This window comes from Homo sapiens, chromosome 7 (assembly GCF_000001405.40).
Source record: "Homo sapiens chromosome 7, GRCh38.p14 Primary Assembly".
Classification (NCBI taxonomy): Eukaryota; Metazoa; Chordata; class Mammalia; order Primates; family Hominidae; genus Homo; species Homo sapiens.
Genome location: NC_000007.14, coordinates 129,883,205 through 129,910,702, shown reverse-complemented (window position 1 = coordinate 129,910,702; position 27,498 = coordinate 129,883,205). Strand labels below are relative to the sequence as shown.

Sequence of the window (27,498 nt, the reverse complement as noted above, 5' to 3'; positions counted from 1 at the left end):
ACCGTGTTGTCCAGGCTGGTCTTGAACTCCAGACCTCAGACAATCAGCCTTCCTCGGCCTTCCAAAGTGCTGGGATTACAGGCATGATACTGTTTTTTGTACATCTGATTATGCTACTTCTTGCCTAAAACTCCTTAGTTGCTCTTTAGCACCCATGGTTTAAAGCCTAACCTTGGTATAAAAATCGGTTTGATGGAGTCTTGGTTTAAAAGTCAGTTTGATAGAGAAGTAGTGCCTTCCTACCATCGGTCAAAGATACAATGCTGTGCTGTATGCCTCTCCCCTCCCCTAGCCTTCTCAAGGGACACTTCCTAACTCTTCTACAGAGTCCCTTTCTCTTTTGGCCTTTTTGTTTTTGTTTTTGTTTTTTTTTTGAGATAGAGTCTTGCTCTGTTGTCCAGGCTGGAGTGCAGTGGTGCAATCTCCGTTCACTGTAACCTTCACCTCCAGGGTTCAAGCGACTCTCCTGCCTCAGCCTCTTGAGTAGCTGGGATTACAGGTGCCTGCCACCACACTCGGCTAATTTTTGTATTTTTGGTAGAGATGGGGTTTCGCCATGTTGGCCAGACTGGTCTCGAACTCCCGACCTCAGGTGATATGCCTGCTTCAGCCTCCCAAAGTGCTGGGATTATAGGCGAGCCACCGTGCCTGGCAACTTTTGTTTATTCTTCAATATTCACCTCAAGCCTTGCATCTTACTCAAAGCCTTCCTTGAATCACCCCCCCTCTATATTTGTTTTCAACCCTTTTCGTGTCTTCTGTATGCTTTAATTGACCCCTTTGTTTTCCCCTCAGACCACTTTATATAATCAGCTGTTTGCTTGTGGCTCCAACTCCCACCTCTTTCAAGCTGCTCCTTAGAAGATAGATTCTGTGTCTTATCTCTTTGTCCCTAGATCCTAGAACTGTTTGTATTGCGTCTGGGCTTAAGCATTGTGAAGAATGAGTGGAAAATGGTAAATATTTATTACTAAAGAGGTGGGGCCACATGTACATTTATATATTTTTTAATACAGACAGGGTCTCATTATGTTGTCTAGGCAGGTCTTGAACTCCTAGGGTCAAGTGATCCTCCCACCTCAGCCTCCCAAAGTGCTAAGATTACAGGCGTGAGCCACCACTCCCGGCCCATTTTTCTCTTTTTGAAGGGTTCTTATTTCTACTCTTCCAGGGCAATTAGAAGCAAAAGGAAAAGACCCTTGGACTGGAGTCTGGTAGAAAGAATGCTCAGTGAGCAAACCTGGGGCTCTGAACCGTCCCCTTGTATGTTTTTCATGGCCTTGCAGCTCACTCCTTGGAGCTGTGGTTCTTTGAGGTGTAGGTCAGAAATTCACGGGGTGCTTCATCAAAGTGTGCATGTCTGATGAATACCTACCCCCTGCCTGCCCCTCTCTAGGTATCAGTGGGGCGGGGAATGTCACTCTCCTGGTGATTCTTGTACATGTTTCTTCTTCCCATTTCCGGCCATTTTTCCCACCTGACATTTTCTCCCTGCTCCTTATATTACATAGTTCTTTATGATCTTTCTCCTGTGTTTTGTATTCCTTCTCTGAGAGAGAGGGGCTCCAGTTGCAATGAGGTTCAAATGATGGTTTTAGTGTCTCAATTAAAACTCTGAATGCACTTACTTTTTTTAGTAAAAGCATTGGTATAGATGATGGCTAATATTCCAGAGTTAAATAGTGTACTTCAGATAAAAGTGAGTTAAATTGGCTTTTGTGTGTAGGAAGTTACATTCTGAGTTCTACGCAATGGACTTAAGAACTTTTGAAACAAAACTTAAGGCTGTTAGTTAAGGACTCATGGAGTCAGATCTGCAGTAGAGAACATCATTCTATACCTCCTGCCTTATTCCCCTCTTGTGACCCCCCATTTCTTCCCTTTACTGGTAAGAAACCCAGGAGCAGGCAGTCTTTGTTGGGGATAATCATAGATTGGCCCTTGGAAAGTGGATTGGAAAATTTGAAGGTGGTGCTCATTTGTGTTTAAACAATTATTTGCTATCATATTTAGCAGTATGCTTTGCTGGTTTTTAGATTGAACCTATGCAGACAGTTAGCTGGAGCCTCTAAAGAAGAAACTTTTTATTCTTAAGTGACTGACTGCTTAGTAATCTACATAACAAATGAACCATTTTGCTTCAGAGACGTGAAATAGGCATCTATAAATGAATAGTTTTTGAAACTAAAGTTGTTAAGACAAAGTTCATCTTTTCACAGTAGGGTTTCTCCAGAAAACCCTCTTTACTCTATTGAAATGCAGCTAGTTGAACTAGGAAAGCATATTCCAATAATAGGCCCATGCAATTAGCCTTTAGTATAATGGAATGAATGGTGGAATTTTTTGTGCATTGTCATCATCAGTTGGTGTTAGTCCCAAACCACATAATAGCTAGAAACCTTGATTGGGAGACACAAAGGTTTCTTATTCATGGGCATGCTTTAATTCTTGAAACTAGTAAAATGTTAGACTCTTAAATCTTAACACTTTTTTGATAACTGTCTACTGCTGGTAAGATTAAGATATGGTGCTTCGGAATTATGTCATTATTTTGAGTGAGAAGAAATGTCGAGGAACTCTTCATTTAGCACCATATCCAAGCCAAACCTCGTATAGAAATTACACAGTGGTGTGCTGGTGAATATTGAACAACCACCCTGGGGAGGGGGATAAAGCCCTGATTTGTAATGTTTGCTGATTTCTGAGGTATAAATACTCTATCATGGCTGGTTTCAGGCTACTAGTGTTATGTTGCTGAAGTTGGGAAAAAATGTGTATAATCAGCTGGCTTGAATTAATCTCAGCTATCAAATATTCAGGATTTTACAGCCTGACTTTTTTTCCAGCCTGTATTTTAATAATCTGCTTATTCTTGTCTTTATCTTTGTCCTTTGTTTTGAAAAAATTGGTCTTCCTGAGGTATAATTTATATGCAGTAAAATTCAGCAATTTTAAGTGTATACATTTGATGAGTTTTGACACATGTATACCTCGTCACAATGATGATATTCCATTAACCTTTCTATACACAGTTGCCAGATTAATTTTCCTAAAATTGTGCTTTGCATCCGTCATCTACCTCGGCATAAAACCTTCACTGGCTATGTACTGTTCATAGGATAAAGTACAAAATGCTGTGGTCTGGCTCTCTACCGTCTTGCTTTTTGTCTACTTATCTGCTTTTATCTACCACAACCCGGCTACATGAACCTCTTATTGCAATAAAACTGATCAACTGGTTCTAGGCACAGTTGCTGCATCTGTGCCTTTGCTGTCAGCTGTACCCTGCCTATGATATTCCTTGGACATCATATTCCTTCTTGACTGCTTGGCCTTTCCTTAAAGTCTGGCTCAAGCCCCATTTTCTTACACGATCCAGGCTTTACTGATTACTTCTGCATCCCGACAGCTGTCATACCGCTTGTTTTGGCACTTAACTATCGCAACTTGTATTGAAATTCCAGAGGTGTTTTTTGGAGTCATTTGATCTTACCCAACAAAGTTGTAAACTATGATGGGGTAGGAAACGTACAACGGAGTTTTTAGCACTTTGCTCAAAAAAAAACAAGAACACCCCCTAATAAATGGCTTTTGATGATGATAAACCTTTAAGCAGCTCTTCCAACTCAGTGAGTCGCAAATTCAGTAACACTACTGGGGAGAATAGTACTCTGTTGTACCATTGACGTAGAGACTGAAGGTTTGGTCTGTCCCAGAGCATAGATGTGTAGTAATGTCTCTCAAAACTAGTATTAGTCATTAAAGTGCACATTGGAGATTTTATCTCTGCCTTGAAAATTCATCCAAAGGTAGTTAGCTTCATGGACTTTGGACTTTTGGCACGGATTAAGCGTTTAAAGTAGGTCTCCAAAGAAACTTCTTTGTTTCTCTCAACCAGCTTTATTGCACTTTTTGAAGTACTGGTAAGAGGTCAGGAGGGTGTATCTCATTGGTTTCCTTCCTGTCCCAGGAAGCCATGTTACGGTATTCTGAAAGAACTTTTTCTTTTTCAGTAACTTTACTATAAGCAAATTTTTTTTTCTTTTTAAAACTTGAATTTTCTCTGTAAGACATTGCATACTTGTTGAAAGCAGACATTAAATGATAACCTAACAAATACTTAACTTAATTCTAGATGCCTATCTGTTTCTCAGGATACCTTGTAGGTTCCTCTTCTCTTAAATACTGGCTTTACTCAGGGCTGGGCGCGTGACTCACAACTGTAATCCCAGCACTTTGGGAGGCTGATGTGGGTGGATCACATGAGGCCAGGAGTTCGAGACCAGCCTGGCCAACATGGTGAAACCCTGCCTCTACTAAAAATACAAAAATTAGCCGCATGTGGTGGCACACACCTGTAATCCCAGCTACTCAGGAGGCTGAGGCACAAGAATCGCTTGAACCGGGAGGTGGAGGTTGCAGTGAGCCAAGGTGGCGCCACTGCACTCCAGCCTGGGCAACAGAGCAAGACTGTCTCAAAAAAAAAAAAAGAAAGAAAAAAAAATGGCTTTACTCGGGGTTTCACAGTTCATCCTTATCTCTTGGTAGTTAGTACCCTATTCTTGAGTGATTTCATCTATTATTGCCTGAATGTGTTTTTAGAATAAAAATTCCATATCTCTTGAGCTCTGGTCTTGGATGGCCAAATGCCTACTGGACATCTTCTCTTTGCTGCTTTTCAGAGACCCCAGATTCAACATGTCCTAAATGGAACATCTGTATAAGTCTTTTTTTTTTGGAGACAGTGTCTCGCTCAGTGGCCCAGGCTGGAGTACAGTGGCACTGTCATAGCTCATTGTAACCTCTAACTCCTGGCTCCTGGGCTCAAACCATCCTTCTGCTTTGGCCTTCTGAGTAGCTGGGACTGCAGGCGTGAGCCGCTGTGCCTGGCCTCTCTGTAAGTCTTAGGCCCTCTCTTATTCCTCGATTGCTGAATGGTATTACCATCAGCAATACCAGGATAACTCAACTTGAGATAACTCAAGCCAGAAACATTGGAATCATCCTTGGCTTGTCCCTCTTCCTTCTCTTTCTGTGTCTGTGAGGTTCACCTCAAACATTTCTTACAAAAATCCTTTTCCTCCTCTGTTTTGAGTTCTGGCCAACCTTATCCTTTGTTGGGAAGGGGACTCCCCTGCCTTCCAAGCATCTAATTTGTGTACTAAGAGCAGATCTACTTCCATGGCATCAGATGAACCAAGCTCATAAGTCTGAAAGGTACAACTGGAAAACCAGCATATAATTTTAATTGTGTACCAGTGTTTCTGGTCTCTATAGGTAAACATAGCTGGGATCCCATACTATCATTGGAAAGAAGGTTATTCGAGAAGGCATTAGAACAAAAACAATGAGATGAATCAAATGTATAATGGTCTGACACAATCTGATGATACCACCATCTCATCGTAGATCTGTTGTGACCAGAAACCTCATGTCTATGAACAAAGACTCCTTTTCTCCCCTATCTAGTTGCTTCAGTGGCCCCTGCCAGTCTTTCTTTTTCATTCTTCTTCTGAGCTTGCAGGGGTGACCCTTTTATGAGATACCTTAATCCTTTGCATGTCTGAATACATTGATTCTGGCTGTACTTGAATCTTGCTATGTGGAAAACCAGATTTTCTCTTTCAAATGGCTTGTACTCCCCTCAGTCATTGTGTGTTGATCTCGAGTTGAACTCTGAGGGGCCATCTTACTTCATGTCCTTGGAAAAAACTTCACTGTAGCTGCCATATAAGAGCAAAATGCTAATCTCCCATTGCATTTAGCCAGCATCACCACCTCTTGAAAACACCTTTGGCTTCCCCACCTCCTGGATTAGGACAGGAGCACCTTCAGTGTGCCTCTTCAGCACTGCTGAGTAACCCTCATATCACTCTTAACTGCCTCTTTGGTAGTTTATTGATTGTTCATTTCCCCACTAAACTTGGAGCTTTCAGAGGGCAGATGCTCTCTTATTTCCAGATCCTACTGTCTAGCGTAGTGCCTGGCACCTACTCACACTATTCATTTAACCAGTTTCTGTTGAGCATCCACTGACACGTAGCCGAGGCTAGTCACTCAGCTACATGTCAGGAATAAAGGCAAATAAGGTTCTTGCCCTCTTGGAAGTCGAATTTCGTTCGAGGTGAGGGAGGATATAAAAAGACAAAATAGTACTCATGATAAAACCTACAAGGAAATAGACAATAGAATGAGGTAGAGAATAATTGGGATGGTCTGTTGGGCATGTACTTCAGGTGATCGGAAAGGTCTCTAAGGAAGTGCCATTTAGACACACCATAAAGGCCTGGTGCAGTGGCTCACACTGTTAATCCCAGCACTTTGGAAGGCCAAGGCAAGAGGATCGCTTAAGGCCAGGAGTTTGAGACCAGCCTCGCCAACACAGCGAGATCCCCATCTCTATTTAAAAAAAAAAAAGACACACCTTAAAGGATAAGAATCAGCAAGCTATCTGTCAAAACAGGGAAATCAGGGCTGGGCAGAAGAAATAGCCATTGCAAAGGCCCTGGGGAGGAAGAGAGCTTATTGTGTTTGAGGAAATGAAAGAAGACCAGTGTATCTAGAAAGGTAAGAGAGGAAGAATGTGGCAGACTGAGACCGTGTCAGGCATATTGTGGGCTTGGATGAGTGAAATTAGACAGCTGTCGATACAGTGAGTGATTCACATACTTTAGATTTGTTTGGAACTAGCACTGTTATAAATTGGGATTCTAAATGTTAATTTTGCACATTCTTTTCTGGAATGTTAATACTCAAAAAATAACGATTGAAAGATAACCTAGAACTTATTATTTTTTAAGAGACAGGGTGTCACTCTATTGCCGAGGCTGGAGTACAGATGCCAGCATAGCTACCTGTAGCCTTGAACTCCTGGGCTCAAGGGATCCTCCCATTTCAGCCTTCTCAGTAGCTTGGATAACAGGTGTGTAACACTGTGCTCAGCTAGTTTTGTTTTGTTTTTTAAATAATAGAGATGGCGTCTTGCTTTGTTGCGTAGGCTAGTCTCAAACTCCTGGGCTCAAGCAGTCCTCCTGCCTTGGCTTCCCAAAGTGCTGGGATTACAGACGTGAGCCACCACATGCAGCCATAGTTTTAAAATTTTTGTAGATATGGCGTCTTGCTGTGTTGCCCAGGCTGGTCTCAAACTCCTGGCCTCAAGTGGTTCTCCCACCTGGGTCTCCTAAAGTGTTGGGATTACAGGCATGAGCCACTATGCCTGGCCGAGAATTTCAGTCTTTATGTGAAATATATCCTACAATTACAGACACTCTTAGGATGTTCCTTTTCTTGTCTGAATTCCTATCCCTCAGGAGCCTGGAATAAAGCTATATTGAGAGTTTTCTGTGTCTTATTGAGAATTTTCACATAGTCTTATTAACCGTCGTTGCATTCTGCTGGTTGATCTATTTTAGCACAACTGTTGAAATAAATACTGTTCATTTAATGCCACATCCTTATCTGAAAATCAGTTCAAGGATAAGCACAGCTGAGTCATTTAAGCTTATATGAGTACAGTTTTTGAACTTTGTGGATTGTGCTTTAAACTAGTGTTTAGATTCTCTGTAGGTGCAAGGCTTCTTTCCTCCCTTGCTCTCACACATTCTGTGCCCTTGGCTGCACTAGGTTGCATATGCATTATTGAGGTTAATGGGAAGCCAAATGCAGAGCAGGGAGCCACAGTGAGTAGCAGCTCTACGACTCAATAGCAGTCCGACCTTGGACGGGGTTGCAGCCCGACAGTGTATTCATTTTTTATAATGGAAACAATACTTGCATGATAGGGTTGTTGAGAGGATTAAACGATGTAACATATGTAAGACACTAACACCTCTTGATAGAGGCTTGGTAAATATTTGGCACCTGTTAATCCTCAGTTTCCCCGTAGGGTAAATATGCTTATCCCCACTTTTGTAAATGGTGGGGGGAGGCAAGGCTTAGAGATCATTTCACTTGCCTTAGGCTGGTGCTTCTCAGTTACTGGGGACTCTTGTTAAAATGGAGATTTTGATTCAGTTAGTCTGAAACTGGGGTCCAGTGTGTTCATTTCTAACAAGCTCCTCCACCTTAAATAGGAGGCTGTAGGCTACTTCCTAGGAAATGGGGGAGATGGGCCTCAAACCCAGGTTTGCTCTACTCCAAAGCCTTCCCCCGTCCCATGGAGCCTCCCTTATTCTCACTTGTGCAACAGGTTTTTTGTTTGTTTGAGATGGAGTCTCGCTCTGTCGCCCAGGCTGGAGTGCAATGGTGCATCTCGGCTCACTGCAACCTCCGCCTCCCAGGTCCAAGCGATTCTCCTGCCTCAGCCTCCCAAGTAGCTAGGATTGCAGCTGCCTGCCACCATGCCCAGCTAATTTTTTTGTATTTTTAGTAGAGACGGGGTTTTGCCATATTGGCCAGGCTGGTCTTGAACTCCTGACCTCAGGTGATCCATCCGCCTCGGCCTCCCAAAGTGCTGAGATTACAGCTGTGAGCCACCGTGCCCGGCCATGTAATGGTTTTGTTAAGAGACTTATATGTAGTTTAATGATTCCTTAGATTACTAAGATCTAAAGTTACATTTTTTTATTCATTTGCTCAGCCTTTTCTTAGAACTCTTTGTATGCTGAGTTCCCGTTTTAAAGATCTACTTTGAAAGAAGTAGGACTAAGTGAAAACGGGTTAATAACACTTAATGTTGTCTGTTGGACAATTACTTGTTGTCTCATCATGTTAAATACTCCACATTGTTCTTCTCTCTCCCCCGCTCCCCCACCAAACTTGCTTCTGCTACTCCTGCCTGCCTTTTATTTTTGTTAGAACAGTGTCATCAGCCGGGTGCAGTGGCTCACACCTGTAATCCTAGCATTTTGGGAGGCTGAGGTGGGTGGATTACTTGAGGTCAAGAGTTGAGACCAGCCTGGCCAACATGGTGAAACCTCATCTCTACTAAAAATACAAAAAATTAGCCAGACATGGTGGCGGGCACCTGTAATCCCAGCTATTCAGGAGGCTGAGGCAGGAGAATCGCTTGAACCCGGGAGGCAGAGGTTGCAGTGAGCTGAGATCACACATTGCACTCCAGCCTGGGTAAGAAGATCTCAAAAAAAGAAAGTGTCATCATCTACTAGATTGGAAATATCAGATATTCTTGAGTCTTTCTTCTCCCTCATATACAGTTAGTCATCCAGTTCTTCAAAATCTCGTTGAAATGTGGCTTCCCCTCCAGCCAGTCTACTGCCTATCAGTACTTACCTGTCTGTGCATTAGCCCCCACCGACCTCTATCCCACCAGCATCTCCCTGTGGCGCTGTGCAGTCTCGCTGTTGGTCACCTTCCTCATCAGAACAAGCCTGAGTGTGCCACACTCCTCTCCAGAAGCCCTGTGGTCTTGATAGAGAGAGGCAAATAGGGTGGCTCAAAGAACAGACTTGAACTAGACTGCCTGGGCTCCTGTCCTCCCTCCACAACTCACCAGCCACAAATAATGAGAAAGGTACATTTGCTAGGGAAAACATTTAAATACAAATACTCATCTTGATGTGTTTAAACATGTTGAGACAGTTCTGTCTGAGGTGAGGAACAAATTAAGGATAGATACATTGGTTTCTTATTAATTTAGTGTTTAAGACAGTGCTTATTTCCTTGGGGAAAAATACTGTAAAGAAAAAGAAAACACCTGGTACGGTGAGTCACGCCTGTTAATCCCAGCACTTTGGGAGGCCAAGGCGAGTGGATCATGAGGTCAGGAGATGGAGACCATCCTGGCTAACACGGTGAAACCCCTTCTCTACTAAAAATACAAAAAATTAGCCGGGCGTGGTGGTGGGCACCTGTAGTCCCAGCTACTCAGGAGGCTGAGGCAGGAGAATGGTGTGAACCTGGGAGGTGGAGCTTGCAGTGAGTGGAGATGGTGCCACTGCACTCCAGCCTGGGTGACAGAGTGAGACTCTGTCTCAAAAAAAAAAAAAAAAAGGAAAAAGAAATCTTAATCATACGATGCTATATGGCTCAGAAGTGAATAATATTTACATGTATACGTATGTAACTAACCTGCACAATGTGCACATGTACCCTAAAACTTAAAGTATAATAAAAAAAAATTTACATGGTCATAATATAATCTCTAAATAGTGATTTGGCCAACAATGGTGATGTGATTGTATTCCATGGAGAGGAAGAAGAAACATGGGGGTGAGGTTGAAAATCCTGATACTCCAATGTGAGAAAGTCATTTGATAATATTCGAAACTATAAAATCAAATAGTATATACAAATGTTATATAGATACAATGAATTATCTTCCATGTGTTTGAATTATCTTCTATGGGATCTCACATTTAAGTAGTCAAGGGTAAACTCTATGGCTTTTAGCAAATTGGAGAGTAACATATGTGTTACATTAATGTTGGATGTTGAGATAATTAAATCCATGTCATTCTTTTGTGAGAACACATTATTTTGCATGCTGTAATAGCACAGTAGTTTGGAATAAGGAGCTATTTGACGTATCAGGTCCACCTAAGAAATAAGAAGTTAACTTCATATCCTATTTTGGGCATAGATTTATTTTATTATTTTAATTTTTTTTTTTTTTTGAGATGGGTCTTACTCTGTAGCCCAGGCTGGAGTGCAGTGATGTGATCTCGGGTCACTGCAGTCTCCACTTCCCATGTTCAAGCGATTCTCCTGCCTCAGCCTCTCGAGTAGCTGGGGTTACAGTTGTGTGCCACCACACCTGGCTAGTTTTTGTATTTTTAGTAGAGAGACGGGGTTTTGCCATATTGGCTAGGCTGGTCTCGTACTCCTCACCTCAAGTGATCTGCCTGCCTCGGCCTCCCAAAGTGCTGGATTTACAGGTGTGAGCCATGGTGTCCAGCCCTGTGGGGGCACAGATTTAGAAGTACAAATACTTTTTAAGTGTTTGAGATGTAGGTAAAATACTACTCCTTGTTGTTTGATTAAGTGATGCCGTATCAGACTAAACTCTGTCCTTGTTTTTGTTTTTTTCTGATCAGGTTCTGGAGTTAACCTGTCTCACACGTTAGGTGAGATTTAATTGATTAGCCTTCTCTTTGAGATAGTTGATGAAAGGTGCTTCATATCTTAGTAAGTTTTTGTTCGTGAATCCTGAGCACATGCACGTGTTGTGTTAAAGAGGCAAGAAGGAACAGTAGAGCGAATCCCTGTGAAAAGCATGCTTTTCCCCATGGGTCACCTAGCCAGGGCTCTGTTGGATTGGTGAACAGCATGAGAGAAAAAAAAGCACTGGACAATTTGAGCTGCGTTTGGCAATTGAGGTGGTGTTTAAAGGTGAACTTTATTTTACTATAAAAGCTTTAATACTGGTATTGGTGAGAGCATGAGGGAAACAGGTCTGCTTAGGTGATGGTAGTTAGAAAGTAACTGGATGCAACCTTTTTGAAGGATATTTAAGCATTATATGTCAAAATTAGGTATACAGCCCTTTGAATAGAAGTTCCACTTCTAGAAATTGCAAACAGATACTTGAAAAAGTATACCAACAGACATGTACTGGGATGTTTATTGTAACTAATAGCAAAACAAAACAAAACAAACAGCAGACAACAGCCTTCCTATTCACTAATGGATATGAAATTACGGATAGGTAAATTATGGTATATTGACATTATACAAGCACTAAAAAAAGGAGCTTAGATCTATATGTCCTCAAACATATCCTCCCTAGATGCATGGGCAGAGGTATTTACAGAACAGTTTGTACCTACATGTCTTTGTGTATGTGATGACGTGGATGTGTGTGTATATAAACATCTCTATGGAAAGTGCATAAGCAATGGTAGTATCTAGGCAGTGGGACTAGAAGTTGCGGGGTGGAAAGGCTATTTTAAGCCCCAGTCATGTTTTTAAAAGACAAGAAAAAAAAAAAAAGGCCTGCAACTCAACACTTGATCTGATGAGGTTATTTGGTTGTATTGAGGGTGCTCTTGTGTCTTTCAGGAGGGATTCTCCTCTGCACTGTGCCCTCTGATTGCACCAGCACATCTCACATGGTGGCACCTGAGCCTATCAGTTCTACTTGTCTCCGTGGTGCAAACACGAGAGAAGGAAACTCAATAGTTTTTTCACCTTTTCAATGTCAAGTTTTCTTACTATATATACATCCACTGTTGTGTCTAGGTTTGTTTTCTGTTGTTTTGCTAAATAGCTTGATTTTTTTCATATTATTCAGTTCTTCAGGAAGTACTACTCCTTGTGAGAAACTTGATTTTTAATTTCCTTCTCATACTTCATAACAATACAGCCTTCATTCTTATTGTTGATGCATATTTAAATCTAAACTTCTACTTAAGTGATTAGGTTGGTTTCTTTTATACTGTTTATCACTTCATATGTCCTAATTGTACCTGACAGATCATTTCTTAACTGTATGTTAATCATTTCTGTTGGTCTTGAGCTAGCAGTTTTGCTAATATGGCAGGGTGGCTTTTTCTCTGAGATCTATCACCTGTTAGTAGTATGATGCTGAAAATAGCTCTACCACTCTTGTTGTATCACATTGCACACCTAGATACAGTCTACTTTCACCTCCCTTGACTTTCCAGGGTTTTCTTGCTTATTTACTCATATTGGTGTGATTTTCTTATGGTAGGGTGTTTCTTTAACAGCAATTTTTTTCCATAAAATAATTCATTTCTTTTGCTTATTTTCACTATGGGTTTTTTTAAAAAGCAGCATTCCAGTTTTTGTTGAAAGTTTTTTATCCCACTTCTTTCATCCTAAATGTTGATAAAGATAATAAATACAGGCAGCTTATAATAGCTATTTGAACGTATTATCAAATAAGGTATTTTCCTGTTAACTACACTTCTGTATAGTTTTTAAGCAGAATTTCAATCAAGAAGACACTATTTTTCTATATCTCTTTAGATTACTTTTTGATTTTTTTAAACACTGTTTATACAAGTTTTTATCAAACTTCCAACAGATAATGGGTACTGCCTCTCATAAATCTTCCAAAGGGACAATGGAAACTGGGCCCAGTTGAATAAAGCCATATTCATTTGTTTTGGAACGCAGAGTTCTCTGCATGTAGATTGCATTTAGCATTCTGTCTAGTGTATCCATCTGTAGTTTTGCTTTTTTCAGAATAAAACCTTGACAGTAATTTTGAACCTGTTACTTTATTTCTTTTTGCATGTATTGCTTTAAAAAGGCCGAAGTCTAGTATTCTCTTCCCCTTTTTAAGTTTTATGAAATCAAGGTTAAATTGATATTAGTGCCACTTAATATTTGACACCTGCTATGCCTAATGAACTTGAAGTAGTAAAGGGAGCAGCAGGGGTCAGCCATTCATATTATGCAAGATAACTGGAGAACGAGCAGACTATGATTAGAGCTTTAGACTAGTGGGTTCTAACCTCTTTATAAGAGCAAATTCATTATTTATATGTGCATATGTGTTACCTTTTCCTTTTTCCTCTGGATTTATAGGTATTTGAGTTTCAAGAATTTTCTTGAGATTATATTATAGAAGTCATTAAGATGGGGAATCAATCTCTAGAGACATAAACTGGTAATTATCCAGTGTAGGGAAGGAAAGGAAGATGAGGCATGGTCTGGTTTGTGGACCTGGGTCTTCGAGTAAGTGGCTCCATGACTTTGGGGTGCGCTGAATGTAATGTAAGAGGAAGGGGATGATGGCATATCTGGCATCTCTTCCTGCACATTTTTTATGATCCATTATTCACACTTTGATCATCTTTATCTGCTGAATGGGTACCGCAGCTTGGTATTTATTAATTATCACCCACCACTCTACAGAGGTAACTATTTGTCACTATGAAGAATGCCAAAGAAAATATTTCCTCGTAAAATTTAACTGCTTACTGTGAATGATTCATAAATGCCTGATTAAAAGGTCTGTGAATAGAGATTTTTGTGCACTGACTTAGCTAAATGCTATCTTCATTGAGTGGCATTGCAGTCTATATGTCAAGTTAGAGTAAAAACTGTATTTAAAATGGAAAAACAGAAAAGGGCCAGGCAAGGTGACTCACACCTATAATCCCAGCACTTTGGGAGCCTGAGGTAGAAGGATCACTCGAGACCAGTAGATTGAGACTAGTCTGGGCAACATAAGGAGACCTCATCTATACAAAAAATAAAAAATGAGCCGGATGTGCTGATGCATGCCTGTAATCCAAGCTACTGGGGTGGGTGAGGTGGGAGGATCATTTGAACCTGGGAGGGTCGAGGCTGCCGTGAGCTGAGCCGGGATCTCGCCACTGGACTCCAGCCTGGGCAACAGAGTGAGACCCTGTTTCAATCAATCAGTAAATAAATAAATACAATGAAAATAAAATGAAAAATGGAAGCAGTGTTCTTAAAGATTTTGTTTTTTTTTTGAGACGGAGTCTCACTCTGTTACCCAGGCTGGTGTGCAGTGGTGTGATCTCGGCTCACTGCAACGTCTGCCTCCTAGATTCAAGCGATTCTCCTGCCTCAGCCTCTAGAGTAGCTGGGATTACAGATGCCCGCCACCACGTCCAGCTAATTTTTTGTGTTTTTTAGTAGAGACGGGGTTTCGCCACATTGGAGGCTGGTCTTGAACTCCTAACCTCAGATGATCTACCTGCCTTGAATCCCGAAGTGCTGGGATTACAGGCATGAGCCACGACGCCCAGCCAAGATTTTTCAAAGAACACTGGAAACTTGAATACCAAAGGCACTACATAGATACTCCATAAAGTCATATTAAATTTAGCTTTTTATTGAGAAGTTGCTTTGTGTTGAGCACTTTGAGTGGTATAGCAAAGACACATACCGCCCAAAAGGGGAAGTAGGATTTTTTCTGTTGTTTTTTTCTGAGACAGAGTCTTGCTTTGTTGCCCAGGCTGGAGTGCAGTGGCGCGATCTCAACTCACTGCAAGCTCCACGCCATTCTCCTGCCTCAGCCTCCCAAGTAGTTGGGACTACAGGCACCCGGCTAATTTTTTTGTATTTTTAGTAGAGACGGGGTTTCACTGTGTTAGCCAGGATGGTCTCGATCTCCTGACCTCGTGATCCACCCGCCTTGACCTCCCAAAGTGCTGCGATTACAGGTGTGAGCCACCGTGCCTGGCCTAGTAGGATGTTTTTAAATAGATATTTTGGGGAGAGGGAGTTGGGGGGAAGAAATAAATAGATGTTTTCATTAGGATTTTGCAGAGGGCCACCTGATTATTTGTATGTCTTTGTATCATTTACGGGGAAATTATATGTTGCCTATGACTTGGAAGTTTTCAAGGTGAGTTGCTATTGTCATTTTTAAGGTTGTGATTTGTTTTCCTTGTCTTGCCAGCCTCCTGTGATTAGGTAGGTTCTGCCTTTGGAATGACAAGGTTCTTCCTGCATGTTTTTCTCATGTGCGCAATGGTTTCGTCTCCCCTCCACCCTTAGAATTTGCAGGTCTAGGTCTTCCGCCTGTGCTTCCCTTCATGCCATAGCCCCCATGTGACAGGTGCTAGAGACTGTGTGACAGCCATAACTAAATGCCACTTGGGACTTCTGCACAGCATGTCAGATGCACAGCTCATTGTTTGCCTCCAGGCCTACAGTTAACCAGGAAAGATTTTTGTTGTCTAATTATTTTATAATTTCCTGAGAGCAGAAAAAGTGGATTTTAATTAAGTACCAGATGTCTTTTAAGGTCCTACCTTCTAAAAGTTTTCCAAAAAGTTTTTAAAACAATTTTTCTAGATTTGGAATTTCATTGTGGACTTGTTAATATCTCTGAAGTGTCTCATGTCTTGAGAATCTTGCAGGACTTTATTCTCTGCGGTTCAGTCCAAGTTTGCAGATTTTAAACTGAATGCTTGACTAGCTGATGGTTATTTGACAGTGAGTGTCAATCTTTCCATAGAAGTAGGATGTACTTTGAGAAAAGAAGTTAAAAAAAAAAAATGATGGGTATGGGCCGGGCGCGGTGGCTCAGGCCTGTAATGCCAGCACTTTGGGAGGCTGAGGCCAGTGGATCACCTGAGGTCAGGAGTTTGAGACCAGCCTGGCCAACATGGTGAAACCCCATCTCTACTAAAAATACAAAAAATTAGCCGGGTATGGTGGTGTGTGCCTGTAATCCCAGCTACTCGGGAGGCTGAGGCAGGAGAATCACTTGAACCCGGGAGGTGGAGGTTGCAGTGGGCCAAGATCATGCCATTGCACTCCAGCTTGGGCAACAAGAGCAAAAACTCCGTCTCAAAAAAAAAAAAAAAAAAAAGATGGGATTAGATATGAAACAAAAGCACATCATTTATTTATTTAGAGACAAGGTCTTGTTCTGTTGCTCAGGCTGGAGTGCAGTGGCGTGACATGGTTCACTGCAACCTTGACCTCCTGGGCTCAAGCGATCCTCCCGAGTAGCTGGGACTACAGGCGCATGCCACCATGCCCAGCTAATTTTTTTATTTTTTGTAGAGATGGTGTTTCACCATATTGCCCAAGCTGGTATCAGAGTTCTAAGCTCAAAAGATCTGCCTGCTTTCACCTCCTAAAATGTTGGAATTACAGGCGTGAGCCACTGCACCTGGTCCCATTTATTATTTTATTTTTTTGAGACAGAGTCTCTGTTGCCAGACTGGAGTGCAGTGGCACGATCTCAGCTCACCACAACCTCTGCCTCCCAGGCTCAAGCAGTTCTCCTGCCTCAGCCTCCCAAGTAGCTGGGATTATAGGTGTGTGCCTCCATGCCCTGCTCATTTTTGTATTTTTAGTAGAGACAGGGTTTTGCCATGTCAGGCTAGTCTTGAACTCCTGACCTCAGGTGATCCACCTGCCTCGGCCTCCCAAAGTGCCGGGAGTACAGGTGTGAACTACTGTGCCAGGCCCAAAAGTAGGCTTTTGATTAACCCTTTAGGAGTTAAGAGAGTAATATACTATTTAGCTAATATACTGCTAATTTATATACATGCATTTGTACATTATGTAAATTTGTAATTTTCAGTTGCAAGTAAGCAAATATGCACTATTGCCATAAAACAGCAAAGCAGTCAAGTTTGTTTATTAAGGAGCTATTGATATTTCATCGATAGCCTTCTAGCTTCTAAATATTTTAAAGTGCGTAACTGAAGTTGGAATTTCTCTCAAAATCTTATTTTTTGTTTTGACTATATTTCCTTGCTCTCAAGATGGTATCATTATTTTTCCCTATTTCCCTTCACTTTTCTCTCTCTGAAACTGTTTCTGCAGTTGGATCATTTCTGACTTTGACTATCTGACTTTGTAAATCTGCTTTTAAAAATATTTTGTTGGGGATGGGGGTGTGGTACTTAGATTTCTTATCTTTCTGATAAACCTGTCTTAAAATGTTTCTATGAGTCTTAATTTTTCTTTGAAAATTTTTTACTCTATTATTTGGAAGTCTGGAGGAATAATACATTCAGGGAAAAGCCAAGTTATAGTGATGATTTTCCTATTTAAGTAACATTTACTTGGTTTTTGCCTATGTTTGGCTTGTGACATAGAAACTCTAAATGAAGCATAACACTAGAGAAGAAAAATTTCCTCTCCTAAGGCTAGACTGATTTAGTCTGCTAGGTGGTAATGAACATGCTTGCCATTTAACCTTACTCGTACCAGTTGACTCTGTAAAATTTTAAAACTGTATGTTACTCTTTACTCCTAAGATAATGGGTCTTTAAATATTCAGGGTACCATAGTAAGTTGCCAGATATTTTTTTGCTTCTGGGCAATACATATTTATTTTGAAATGGCTATTTTTAAATAAGTGATACTTCCCTTATTCAGAAGCTGTTTGACAGCTTTAGCCAACTAATTTAGTTGTAAACCTGCTAAAAGTTACATATTTTATTGATTGGAGAGTGTCTTTCTTAGGACATATTTACCCTTTTTTTTTTAAACATAAAGTAATCTCATGAACTTCAGTTATCTGATTTTTCTAGCCTACTATAGATACATTTTAAAGGATAGTAGCCCAGTGTCATCTCCCAAACATAGCTAAAGGTTAAGAACAAAGAGAAACTAGGAAAAGAACCTCTCAATGCAAGGACTTTAGCATAACAGTATGGGAAATTTTCTACAGCAAAAAATAAGTATATTCCTTATTTGTTCCTAAGGGTATCCTTGTATTTTGTAGTACAGTATAGCAACTATTATTCATAATGATGACCCAGCATCAAGAAAGGGTGTAGTTGGCTGGATGCGGTGGGTCATACCTGTAATCCCAGCACTTTGGGAGGCCGAGGTGGGTGGATCACCTGAGGTCAAGAGTTTGAGACCAGCCTGGACAATATGGCAAAACCCTGTCTCTACTAAAAATACAAAAATTAGCCGGGCGTGGTGGTGTGCACCTGTAATCCCAGCTACTCAGGAGGCTGAGGAAGGAGAATCGCTTGAACCCAGGAGGTGGAGGTTTCAGTGAGCCAAGATTGTGCTACCGCACACCAGCCTGTGCGATGGGAGCAAGACTCCATCTCAAAAAAAAAAGAAAGGTTGAGGCCGGGTGCGGTGGCTCATGCCTATAATCCCAGCATTTTGGGAGGCCGAGGCGGGCGGATCACGAGATCAGGAGATTGAGACCATCCTGGCTACGGTGAAACCCCGTCTCTACCAAAAATACAAAAAATTAGCTTGGCCTGGTGGCGGGCGCCTGTAGTCCCAGCTGCTTGGGAGGCTGAGGCAGGAGGATGGCGTGAACCTGGGAGGCGGAGCTTGCAGTGAGCCCAGATCACACCCCTACACTCCAGTCTGGGCAACAAAGCAAGACTCCGTCTCAAAAAAAAAAAAAAAAAGGTGTAGCATGTTTTTTTAGTATTCTGCTTAAGAATGTAGGAAAAAAACTAACACACACACACACTACATTTATAAACTTTGAATTTTAGTTTTGTGGCAATTCATTTAGGTAAAGTGTGTGTGTGTTTTTTTTTTTTTTTTTGTTTTTGTTTTTGGAGACAATCTCGCTCTGTAACCCAGGCTGAGTACAATGGCATGATCTCGGCTCACTGCAATCTCTGCCTCCCTGTTCAAGCAGTTCTACTGTGTTAGCCTCCCAAGTAGCTGGGATTACAGGCACGTGCCACCATGCCCAGCTAATGTTTGCATTTTTACTAGAGGTGGGGTTTCACCATGTTGGCCAGGCTGGTCTTGAACTCCTGACCTCATGATCCGCCCACCTTGGCCTCCCAAAGTGCTGGGATTATAGGCGTGAGCTACCATGCCCGGCCTATTTATTTTTACATTAAAAAAATTAAGTTCCTGTTGTGTCAGCTGCTGGGCCTGGTACCTTTGGATATACAGTATTTCATTTAATTTTCCACAATTCTGTGAGTGAGGTAATGTCCCTTCCCTGCATCCCCTCCCCCTTTGTTTAGAGATTAAGAAACAGGCTCAGATTTAGCCAGGTGCGGTGGCGCATGCCTGTAATCCCAGCTATATAGGAGGTTGAGGCAGGAGACTCTCTTGAACTGGGGAGGCAGAGGTTGCGGTGAGCCAAGATGGCACCATTGCACTCCAGCCTGGGCAACAAGAGTGAAACTCCGTCTCAAAAAAAAATAAAAAATTAAAAAAGAGGCTCAGATTTAATTGATTTATAAGTTGACTATTTTTTTTTTTGAGAGAGTCTTGCTCTGTCACCCAGGCTGGAGGGCAGTGGCACAATCTCGGCTCACCGCAACCTCCACCTCCCGGGTTCAAGCCATTCTCCTGCCTCAGCCTCCCAAGTAGCTGGGATTACAAGCGCCCGCCACCACGCCCAGCTAATTTGTTTTGTATTTTTAGTAGAGACGGGGTTTCACTATTTTGGCCAGGCTGGTCTCAAACTCCTGACCTTGTGATCCACCCGCCTTGGCCTCCCAAAGTGCTGGGATTACAGGCGTGAGCCACCATGCCCAGCCTATAAGTTGACTTCTTTAAGTCATGAGTTTTCCAGCTGTTTATAATATATTGCCACTTGGTTTATCCACTGATAACCTCAAATTTAGTGTTTTCAAAAGTAAACTTACTAATAGTGTCTTTCATTACAAAACTGATTCCTGCTGTCCTGTGTTTCACTTTGCCATTAATAGTATCACCGTTGGCTGGGCGCAGTGGCTCACGCCTGTAGTATTTTGGGAGGCCAAGGTAGGCGGATCACCTGAGGTCAGGAGTTCAATCCCAGCCTGGCCAACATGGTGAAATACAAAAATCTAAAAATACAAAAATTAGCCATGCATGGTGGCAGGCACCTGTAATCCCGGCTGCTTGGGAGGCTGAGGCAGGAGAATCGCTTCAACCTGGGAGGCGGAGGTTGTAGGGAGCCGAGACCACACCATTGCATTCTAGCCTGGGCAACAAGAGCAAAACTCCATCTTTAAAAAAAATATATATATAAGTGTGTGTATATATATGTGTATATATACATACATATATATACACACGTATATATACATACATATATACACGTATGTATACATATACACGTGTATATATATACGTGTGTATATATACGTGTGTATGTATACGTGTGTATATATATATGTGGTATCACTTTACCTGTCTGAGAGGCTAAAATTAAGGTCTCAGACTGGCAACTTCATTCATGTGTTCATCTTATTTTTAAATTTATTTGTTTTTAAGCTACAGGGTCTATGTTTGTCACCCAGGCTGGAGTTCAGTAGTGTCATCATAGCTTACTACAGACTCAAACTCCTGGGCTCCAGCAATCCTCTTGCCTCAGCCGTCAAAGTAGCTGGGACTACAGGCTCGTACCACCCTGCCCAGCTAATTTTTTGGTGTTTTTTGTAGTGATGGGGGTCTCACTATGTTGCCCATGCTGGTCTCTAACTTAACTCCTGGGCTCATGTGATCCTCCCCTGTCAGCCTTCCGATTAGCTAGGAGTATAAGCACGTACCACCATACCTGGCTAATGTTTAAAAATTTTGTTTTTGTGGAGACTGGGTTTTGTTATGTTGCCCAGGCTGGTCTCGGACTCCTGGCCTCAAGCAATCTTTCTGCCCTTGCTTCCCAAAGTGTTGGGATTAAATAGGTATGAACCACTACACCCGGCCTCATGTTCATTTGTAGTCTACTGTTTGCTGGGTACTCTTCTGTGAACAAAATAAACAATTCCTGCTCTTACGGAGCTTGCACTGCAGTAGGAGATAAAAGTAAAATACATAGTATATTGCATGGTGGGAATGTTAGGAGTAAGTGGTTGTAAATAGGATATCCCAGAAGGCCTCACTGAGAGGGAGACATTGGAGCACATATACTTTGTTTACACTTAGAAATTTAGAGCTTGAATTAGAAATTAGAAGATTGATTTGGAGATCTGCTTTTTTGTTTTGTCATGAAAATTAGACATTGTAGCAACGTTGGAGCTTTCTACTGGCTCTGCCAGGTCTGTTCAGCTGTGAAGGCCTGTGAGGGCTCTGTTTAATGTCCCATGATTCATGTGGCTGTTATCTTAGTTGAGGTCTTGAATATTTCTTTCCTACTCTTTTGCTTTAACTCTGCTTATTCCCACCTTCAGCCAGTCCTACACACCACAGTTGGGTTATCTTTGTAAAGCACAGGTAGATGCACTGTGCATGGAATACTGTTTCCCTGTTTGCCAGATAAAATCCACACTTCGGAGCCCTCCGTAATCTGGTCTTGGCCTACTTTCTAGTATTCCCTAGGGTCCACTCATCAAAATAAAAATGTATTGTTCTCAGTTTCCTGAATCAGTTCTATACTAAATCTTTGCATTAAATTCCTTCTCCCACCTCGACATGTCCAAATCACACTCTGTTTAGGACATTTTGTAAGTCCTTACCTTCCATAGCAGACCATCCCTATCCCTCCCTCCGGGCTGGAAGAAATCTCTCCTACTCTAAGCTATAGTATTACTTTATGCAAACTCTTTCTGTACTTCTTAATGAACAGATCTCGTGTTCCCTTGCTAGACTTCAAACTTCTGGAAGGCAGTCTCTGTGTAAGAGTAGTTTTTGTGGCTGGGCGTGGTGGCTCATGCCTATAACCCTAGCACTTTGGGAGGCTGAGGCGAACGGATCACTTGAGGTCAGGAGTTCAAGACCAGCCTGGCCAATATGGTGAAACTCCGTCTCTACTGAAAATACAAAAATTAGCCAGGTGTGGTGCCAGGCGCCTGTAATCCCAGCTACTCGGGAGGCCGAGGCAGGAGAATGGCTTGAACCTGGGAGGCGGAGATTGCAGTGAGCTGAGATCAGGCCACTGCACTCCAGCCTTGGCGACAGAGTGAGACTCCGTCTCAAAAAAAAAAAAGGGTCTTGCTATGTTGCCCAGGCTGGTCTCAAACTCCTGGGCTCAAAACAATCCTCCCACCTCAGCCTCCTGAAGTGCTAGGATAACAGTTGTGAGCCACTGCAATGGTCCCTAAATCTTTATACATATGGATTTCATCACTGATAGCAGCCCACTTCCCATTGTCTTTTCTCAATGCCACTTTTCTTTTTTTCTTTACTTAGCAAACCTTTCCCAAGATAATGCTCATTTTCTGAATAGCTTTTATTTCTGCCATTCAATTTCTCTTTTGAATAAAAGGCTTCCCCCTCTTCATTTGAAGAACATTAAAAACCCTTAAAAATTTTTTCAGCTTCTTATTTCAATCAGGAGCCTTTCTGTTGGACATGACCATTTTTCCTTGTAGTTTAAGAGCTTTGGTTAGCATGTTGCCTAGAGGCTGTTTGTCATGGATATACAGACACATGCTTGTCTTCCTTCCATGTGATTGTATTTTTCATAGACATCCTTATGAAACCACTTGAACTTGTTTCCTTCAGAATGTTAGCAGAGTATGCTTCTCTTTCAATGTAAAGTCTTTGGTTTTTTTGTTTTTGCTTTTGTTTTGTTTTGTTTTTTGAGACGGAGTTTCATTCTTGTTGCCCAGGCTGGAGTGCAATGGTGTGATCTCAGCTCACCGTAACTTTGGCTCACCGTAATCTCCGCCTCCCGAGTAGCTGGGATTACAGGCATGTGCCACAACGCCTGGCTAATTTCGTATTTTTAGTAGGGACGGGGTTTCTCCATGCTGGTCAGGCTGGTCTCAAACTCCCGACCTCAGGAGGTGTGAGCCACCTCACCCAGCCAGTCTTTGCTTTCTTAAATACTGGATCACTTGCTATTTTTTGTCTTCTTCAAACTGTCGCACCTCAGGAAAACTTAACATTGTTTCATAAATGTTCAAGAGAGGCCAGGCATGGGCCTCATTAATAGTATCACCTTTAGCTGGGCGTGGTGGCTCACTCCCATAATCCCAACACTTTGGGAGGCTGAGGCAGGTGGATCACAAGGTCAGGAATTCAAGACCAGCTTGACCAACATGGTGAAACCCCGTCTCTACTAAAAATACAAAAATTAGCCGGGTGTGGTGGTGTGCACCTGTAATCCCAGCTACTCGGGAGACTGAGGCAGGAGAATCGCTTGAACCTGGGAGGCCGAGGTTGTGGTGAGCTGAGATCGTGCGACTGCACTCCAGCCTGGGTGGCAGAGCAAGACTCCATCTCAAAAAAAAAAAAAAAAAAAAAGTTCAAGAGAGCTCTAGTAGCTAAATTCTAGTTCTAGTTCTTGTTCTTAGCTCTAGTAGCTAAGCTTTATGCCTCTACAAAGCTAAACTTTTGATGATAACTATGTTATTAGGTTTTAAAGAACTTTTACTGTATTATGGAAAACTTAAATGTAAAACAAAAATAGTGAGAACAGTGTAACAAATCATGTGCCGCTGGGACTCGATCATTAACATAGGATTCAATCATTAACGTTGCTGGCCCTCTACTGTTTCTTCTACACCTCTTCTACCCACACTGGGTTATTTACTAGCAAATCCTAGAAACATTTTTATTAGTAAATATTTCCATTTATGTCTCTAAAAGAGAAGGATTCCTTGTAAACATATCCCCCCCAAAGCACTATTTTTGTGATACTTACATATTAATGGATTAACAGACATATCTTTTTTTTTTTTTTTTTTTTTTTTTTACCAAAAAACAAAAAACCAGGTAGTGAAAATTGCCAAGTTTCTTCAGCTTTCCTAGTGTGACTCATCTCCAGGAGAGTAGGAAGCAGGTGGGTCTGAACACAGAAATCCACACGACTTGCTTCTGCCCTCTGCACAGAAGCGCGTTCTTTATGCCAGGACCTCATTCCCTTCCACACAGCTCAGGGAGGGCACTCTTTTATTTTATGAACTTGTTATCAGTAAATTTAGGACTCAGTGGTCCCTGAATCCTTGGTCCTTGACCTGTTATTGTCAGTCCTTAAGGCCCAGACATTGCCTTTGGCTTCCTTTCTGGAAAATTTCAGAACTGTATAAAAATCACTTGTAAAACTCTGACAGACACATTTTGCCAAGAATGTCATTTATCTCTTGACAGTTTGGCATTTGCCTTTAAATATTAGATTGTGTAATCATAATGGCATTCCAGGAAAATAATGTGGTAGGTGGCTGGCACTTTAAAAAGTGAAATGGACTTGGGTTCTTGGGAATGTTAATCATTATTCTACACAAAATGGTGATACCCCTTAATAGTGAAATGCTAAGTGGGTATAAAGCAGTATTTGTGAATAAGATCAAAAAAGATGAGTATAAAATGTGATTTATGGGTTTATTTAATGAGTTTTTACCAGAACAATGTCTGAAGGATATTTTATATTTTTAAGCTGTGAAACAGAGAAAGTAATGAGGAATCTTCTAGTGAGTCCCACCAGTCTCCCAGCCTGACCAGCACATCCAGAAATCGATCATTATTTTTGTCATTTTAACCTGCCTTCTTAGTGCCTTCCTTGCCCTTGACTTTGCAGCAGAGAGGAGAAAGAAACTCGTGGTCTCTCCCATAAATACACGTGGTAACAGCAGTGAAGTAATTATTATATATTTTGTGGCAAGTCATTCATTCAGTGGTGATGGAATGGCTTATTTTTAATGCAGTGTTTTTCTTTGGACTAAACCTAAATTCTTTTTTCTATCTCATTTAGTGCCTGTCCATTCCAAGGCAGCATAAAGTTAGCATAGCTTCTCATTTTACTGGTTTGGTAAAAGTTTTAAAGGTTTAGTTCAGTTTGCTTTTGGGTTTTCATATGAGGTAGACTATGAGAACTCTTTAATTTATGATGTGATATATAATTAAAGACAATCCCATTGTAGCTGGCATGTGGGCTATTACTGGGGATCATGGGAAAGAGAAGGCTTGGAGGATCTTCTTTATAAAATACACGTAAGTATGGACTGAATTCCAAACAAACCGCAAAATGGAAGGAACCTCGTTTTATCGCATCCAGGTAAAGGATAGAAAAGGTATCTTCAGTTTTCCCAGAAGCAACATCCACAAGGACAACTCGTAATTTTAAATGATTAAAAGTAATTGCAGTAGATCAGTGTCATTCATAGCAAATTAGTTCTGATTGATGGAGAATGCTGCATCTGTGGATTTTTATGTTATAAAATTAATTTAAGACTTCTTTTGTTAAACTCGTTTAATCTTCTGCACTACTCCGTTCTTTCATTATCCTTGTCAGTTTTAAGGGCTGGAATATCTTTGTACAACTAAATTCAGTTGACTTCTTCTGGATACCCAAGTTGAACAGACACATATATTAGTGGAGCTCTGGTTGGAAAGAGGACACCAGTACACACTATTAGTAGCCTACTGCATGTGGTTTGTGTTTTTTGCCTTTTTTTTTTTTTAAGAGAAGTTCTCTCTCTCTCAGGCTGGAGTGGAGTGGCACAATCATAGCTCACTGCAGCCTCAAACTCCTAGGCTCAAACAATCTTCCTGCCTTAGGCCTTCCAAAGTGCTGGGATTATAGGCATGAGCCAGTGCAGCCAGCCACCTATTGTATAAATGGCTTATAAGTCATTTCACCTGGCTAGGCATGGTGGCTCACGCCTATAATCCCAGCACTCTGGGAAGCCGAGGTGGGAGGATCACTTGAGCCCAAGAGTTCAAGACCAGCATGGGCAAAGAGAGAGACCCTGTCTCTACAAAAACTAAAAAAATTAGCTGGGTGTGGTGGTGCCTGCTGTAGGCCCAGCTAGGGGGAAGTAGAGGTGGGAGGATCACTGGGAGGTAGAGACTGCAGTGAGCCGTGATCATGCTACTGCACTGTAGCCTGAATGACAGAGTGAGACCCTATCTCAAAAAAAAAAAAAAAAAATAGTAATTCGTTGAACCAGTTTCTTATTGATAAATGTTTAGACCGTTTCCATTTTTAAACTTCAAATATTCCAGGAAACATATATGCAGATTTATCAGAAACACTTATTTTTGTAAACTTTTTATTAAAGAATAACATATATACAAAAAGTAGAGAAATTTTTTTTTTTTTTTTTTGAGATGGAGTCTTGCTCTGTCGCCCAGGCTGGAATGCAGTGGCACATTCTTGGCTCACTGCAAGCTCCACCTCCCGTGTTCATGCCATTCTCCTGCCTCAGCCTCCCAAGTAGCTGGGACTACAGGCACCCGCCACCATGCTCGGCTAATTTTTTGTATTTTTAGTAGAGACGGGGTTTCACCGTGTTAACCAGGATGGTCTCGATCTCCTGACCTCGTGATCCACCTGCATCGGCCCCCCAAAGTGTTGGGATTACAGGTGTGAGCCACCGCGCCTGGCCAAAGTACAGAAATTTTTATTATTTTTTTATTTAGTTTTTTGAGACAGAGTCACACTCTGTCACCCAGGCTGGACTGCAGTGGTGCAATTTTGGCTCACTGCAACCTCTGCCTCCTGGGTTCAAGCGTTTCTCCTGCTTCAGCCTCCCAAGTTGTTGGGATTATAGGCGCATACCACCATGCCTGGCTAATTTTTGTAGAGAAATTATTTTTGTAGTTCATTGATGAAATCTGTAAAACCCATACATTATGTGTATCAATTCATTCTTTTTTCTTTTTTTAAGTTATATTTTTTTGAGACGGAGTCTCACTCTGTTGCCCAGGCTGGAGTACAGTGGTGCAATCTCAGCTCACTGCAACTTCTGCCTTCCGGATTCAAGCGATTCTCCTGCTTCAGCCTCCTGAATAGCTGGGACTACAGGCACCCGCCACCACGCCCAGCTAATTTTTGTGTTTTTAGTAGAGATAGGGTTTCGCCATGTTGGCCAGGCTGGTCGCAAACTCCTGATCTCAAGTGATCCGCCTGCCCTGGCTCCCCACAGTGCTGGGATTACAGGCGTGAGCCACTGTGCCCAGCCTATTTTTCTTTTTTAATGCTTTGTAATTTTCTTTTGGGTGACTATACTACAGCTTATTCTTTTTGCCATTGATGAACGTTTGGATTGTCTCTAATTTTTGGATGTTACAAATAGTCCTGTGAACATTCTTAAACATCGGTTTCGGTGAATGTAACTATCCATATGTATTGGGCGTATCTCCGGGAGTAGCGCTGACAGGCATAGGGTATGCATATGTGCAGGTTTAGTACTGCCAACAGTTTTTCAAAGTGGGTGAAACCATATCACACTCTCACCAGCAGTGTCTATTTTTAAAAAAATAACTTCATATAAGTGAAATTTGAATAAAAGAGTAAATTCATTTTAAGTTTTGGAA

General features: G+C 41.6%; 1 protein-coding gene across 4 annotated transcripts in view, besides 1 other annotated feature; it reads left to right on the top strand.

Moving 5' to 3' along the window:
- The window catches only part of UBE2H (ubiquitin conjugating enzyme E2 H), a 122,229-nt gene that overhangs the window by 42,258 nt on the left and 52,473 nt on the right, over window positions 1-27,498 (top strand). The gene's annotated exons all lie outside the window — the stretch shown is intronic.
- Window positions 6,261-6,310: an enhancer, noted in NCBI's record as "active region_26636". NCBI's record gives its function as "activates an Ori minimal core promoter by ATAC-STARR-seq in GM12878 lymphoblastoid cells {active_cell/tissue: GM12878}" and the evidence as "EXISTENCE:reporter gene assay evidence [ECO:0000049][PMID:35858748]".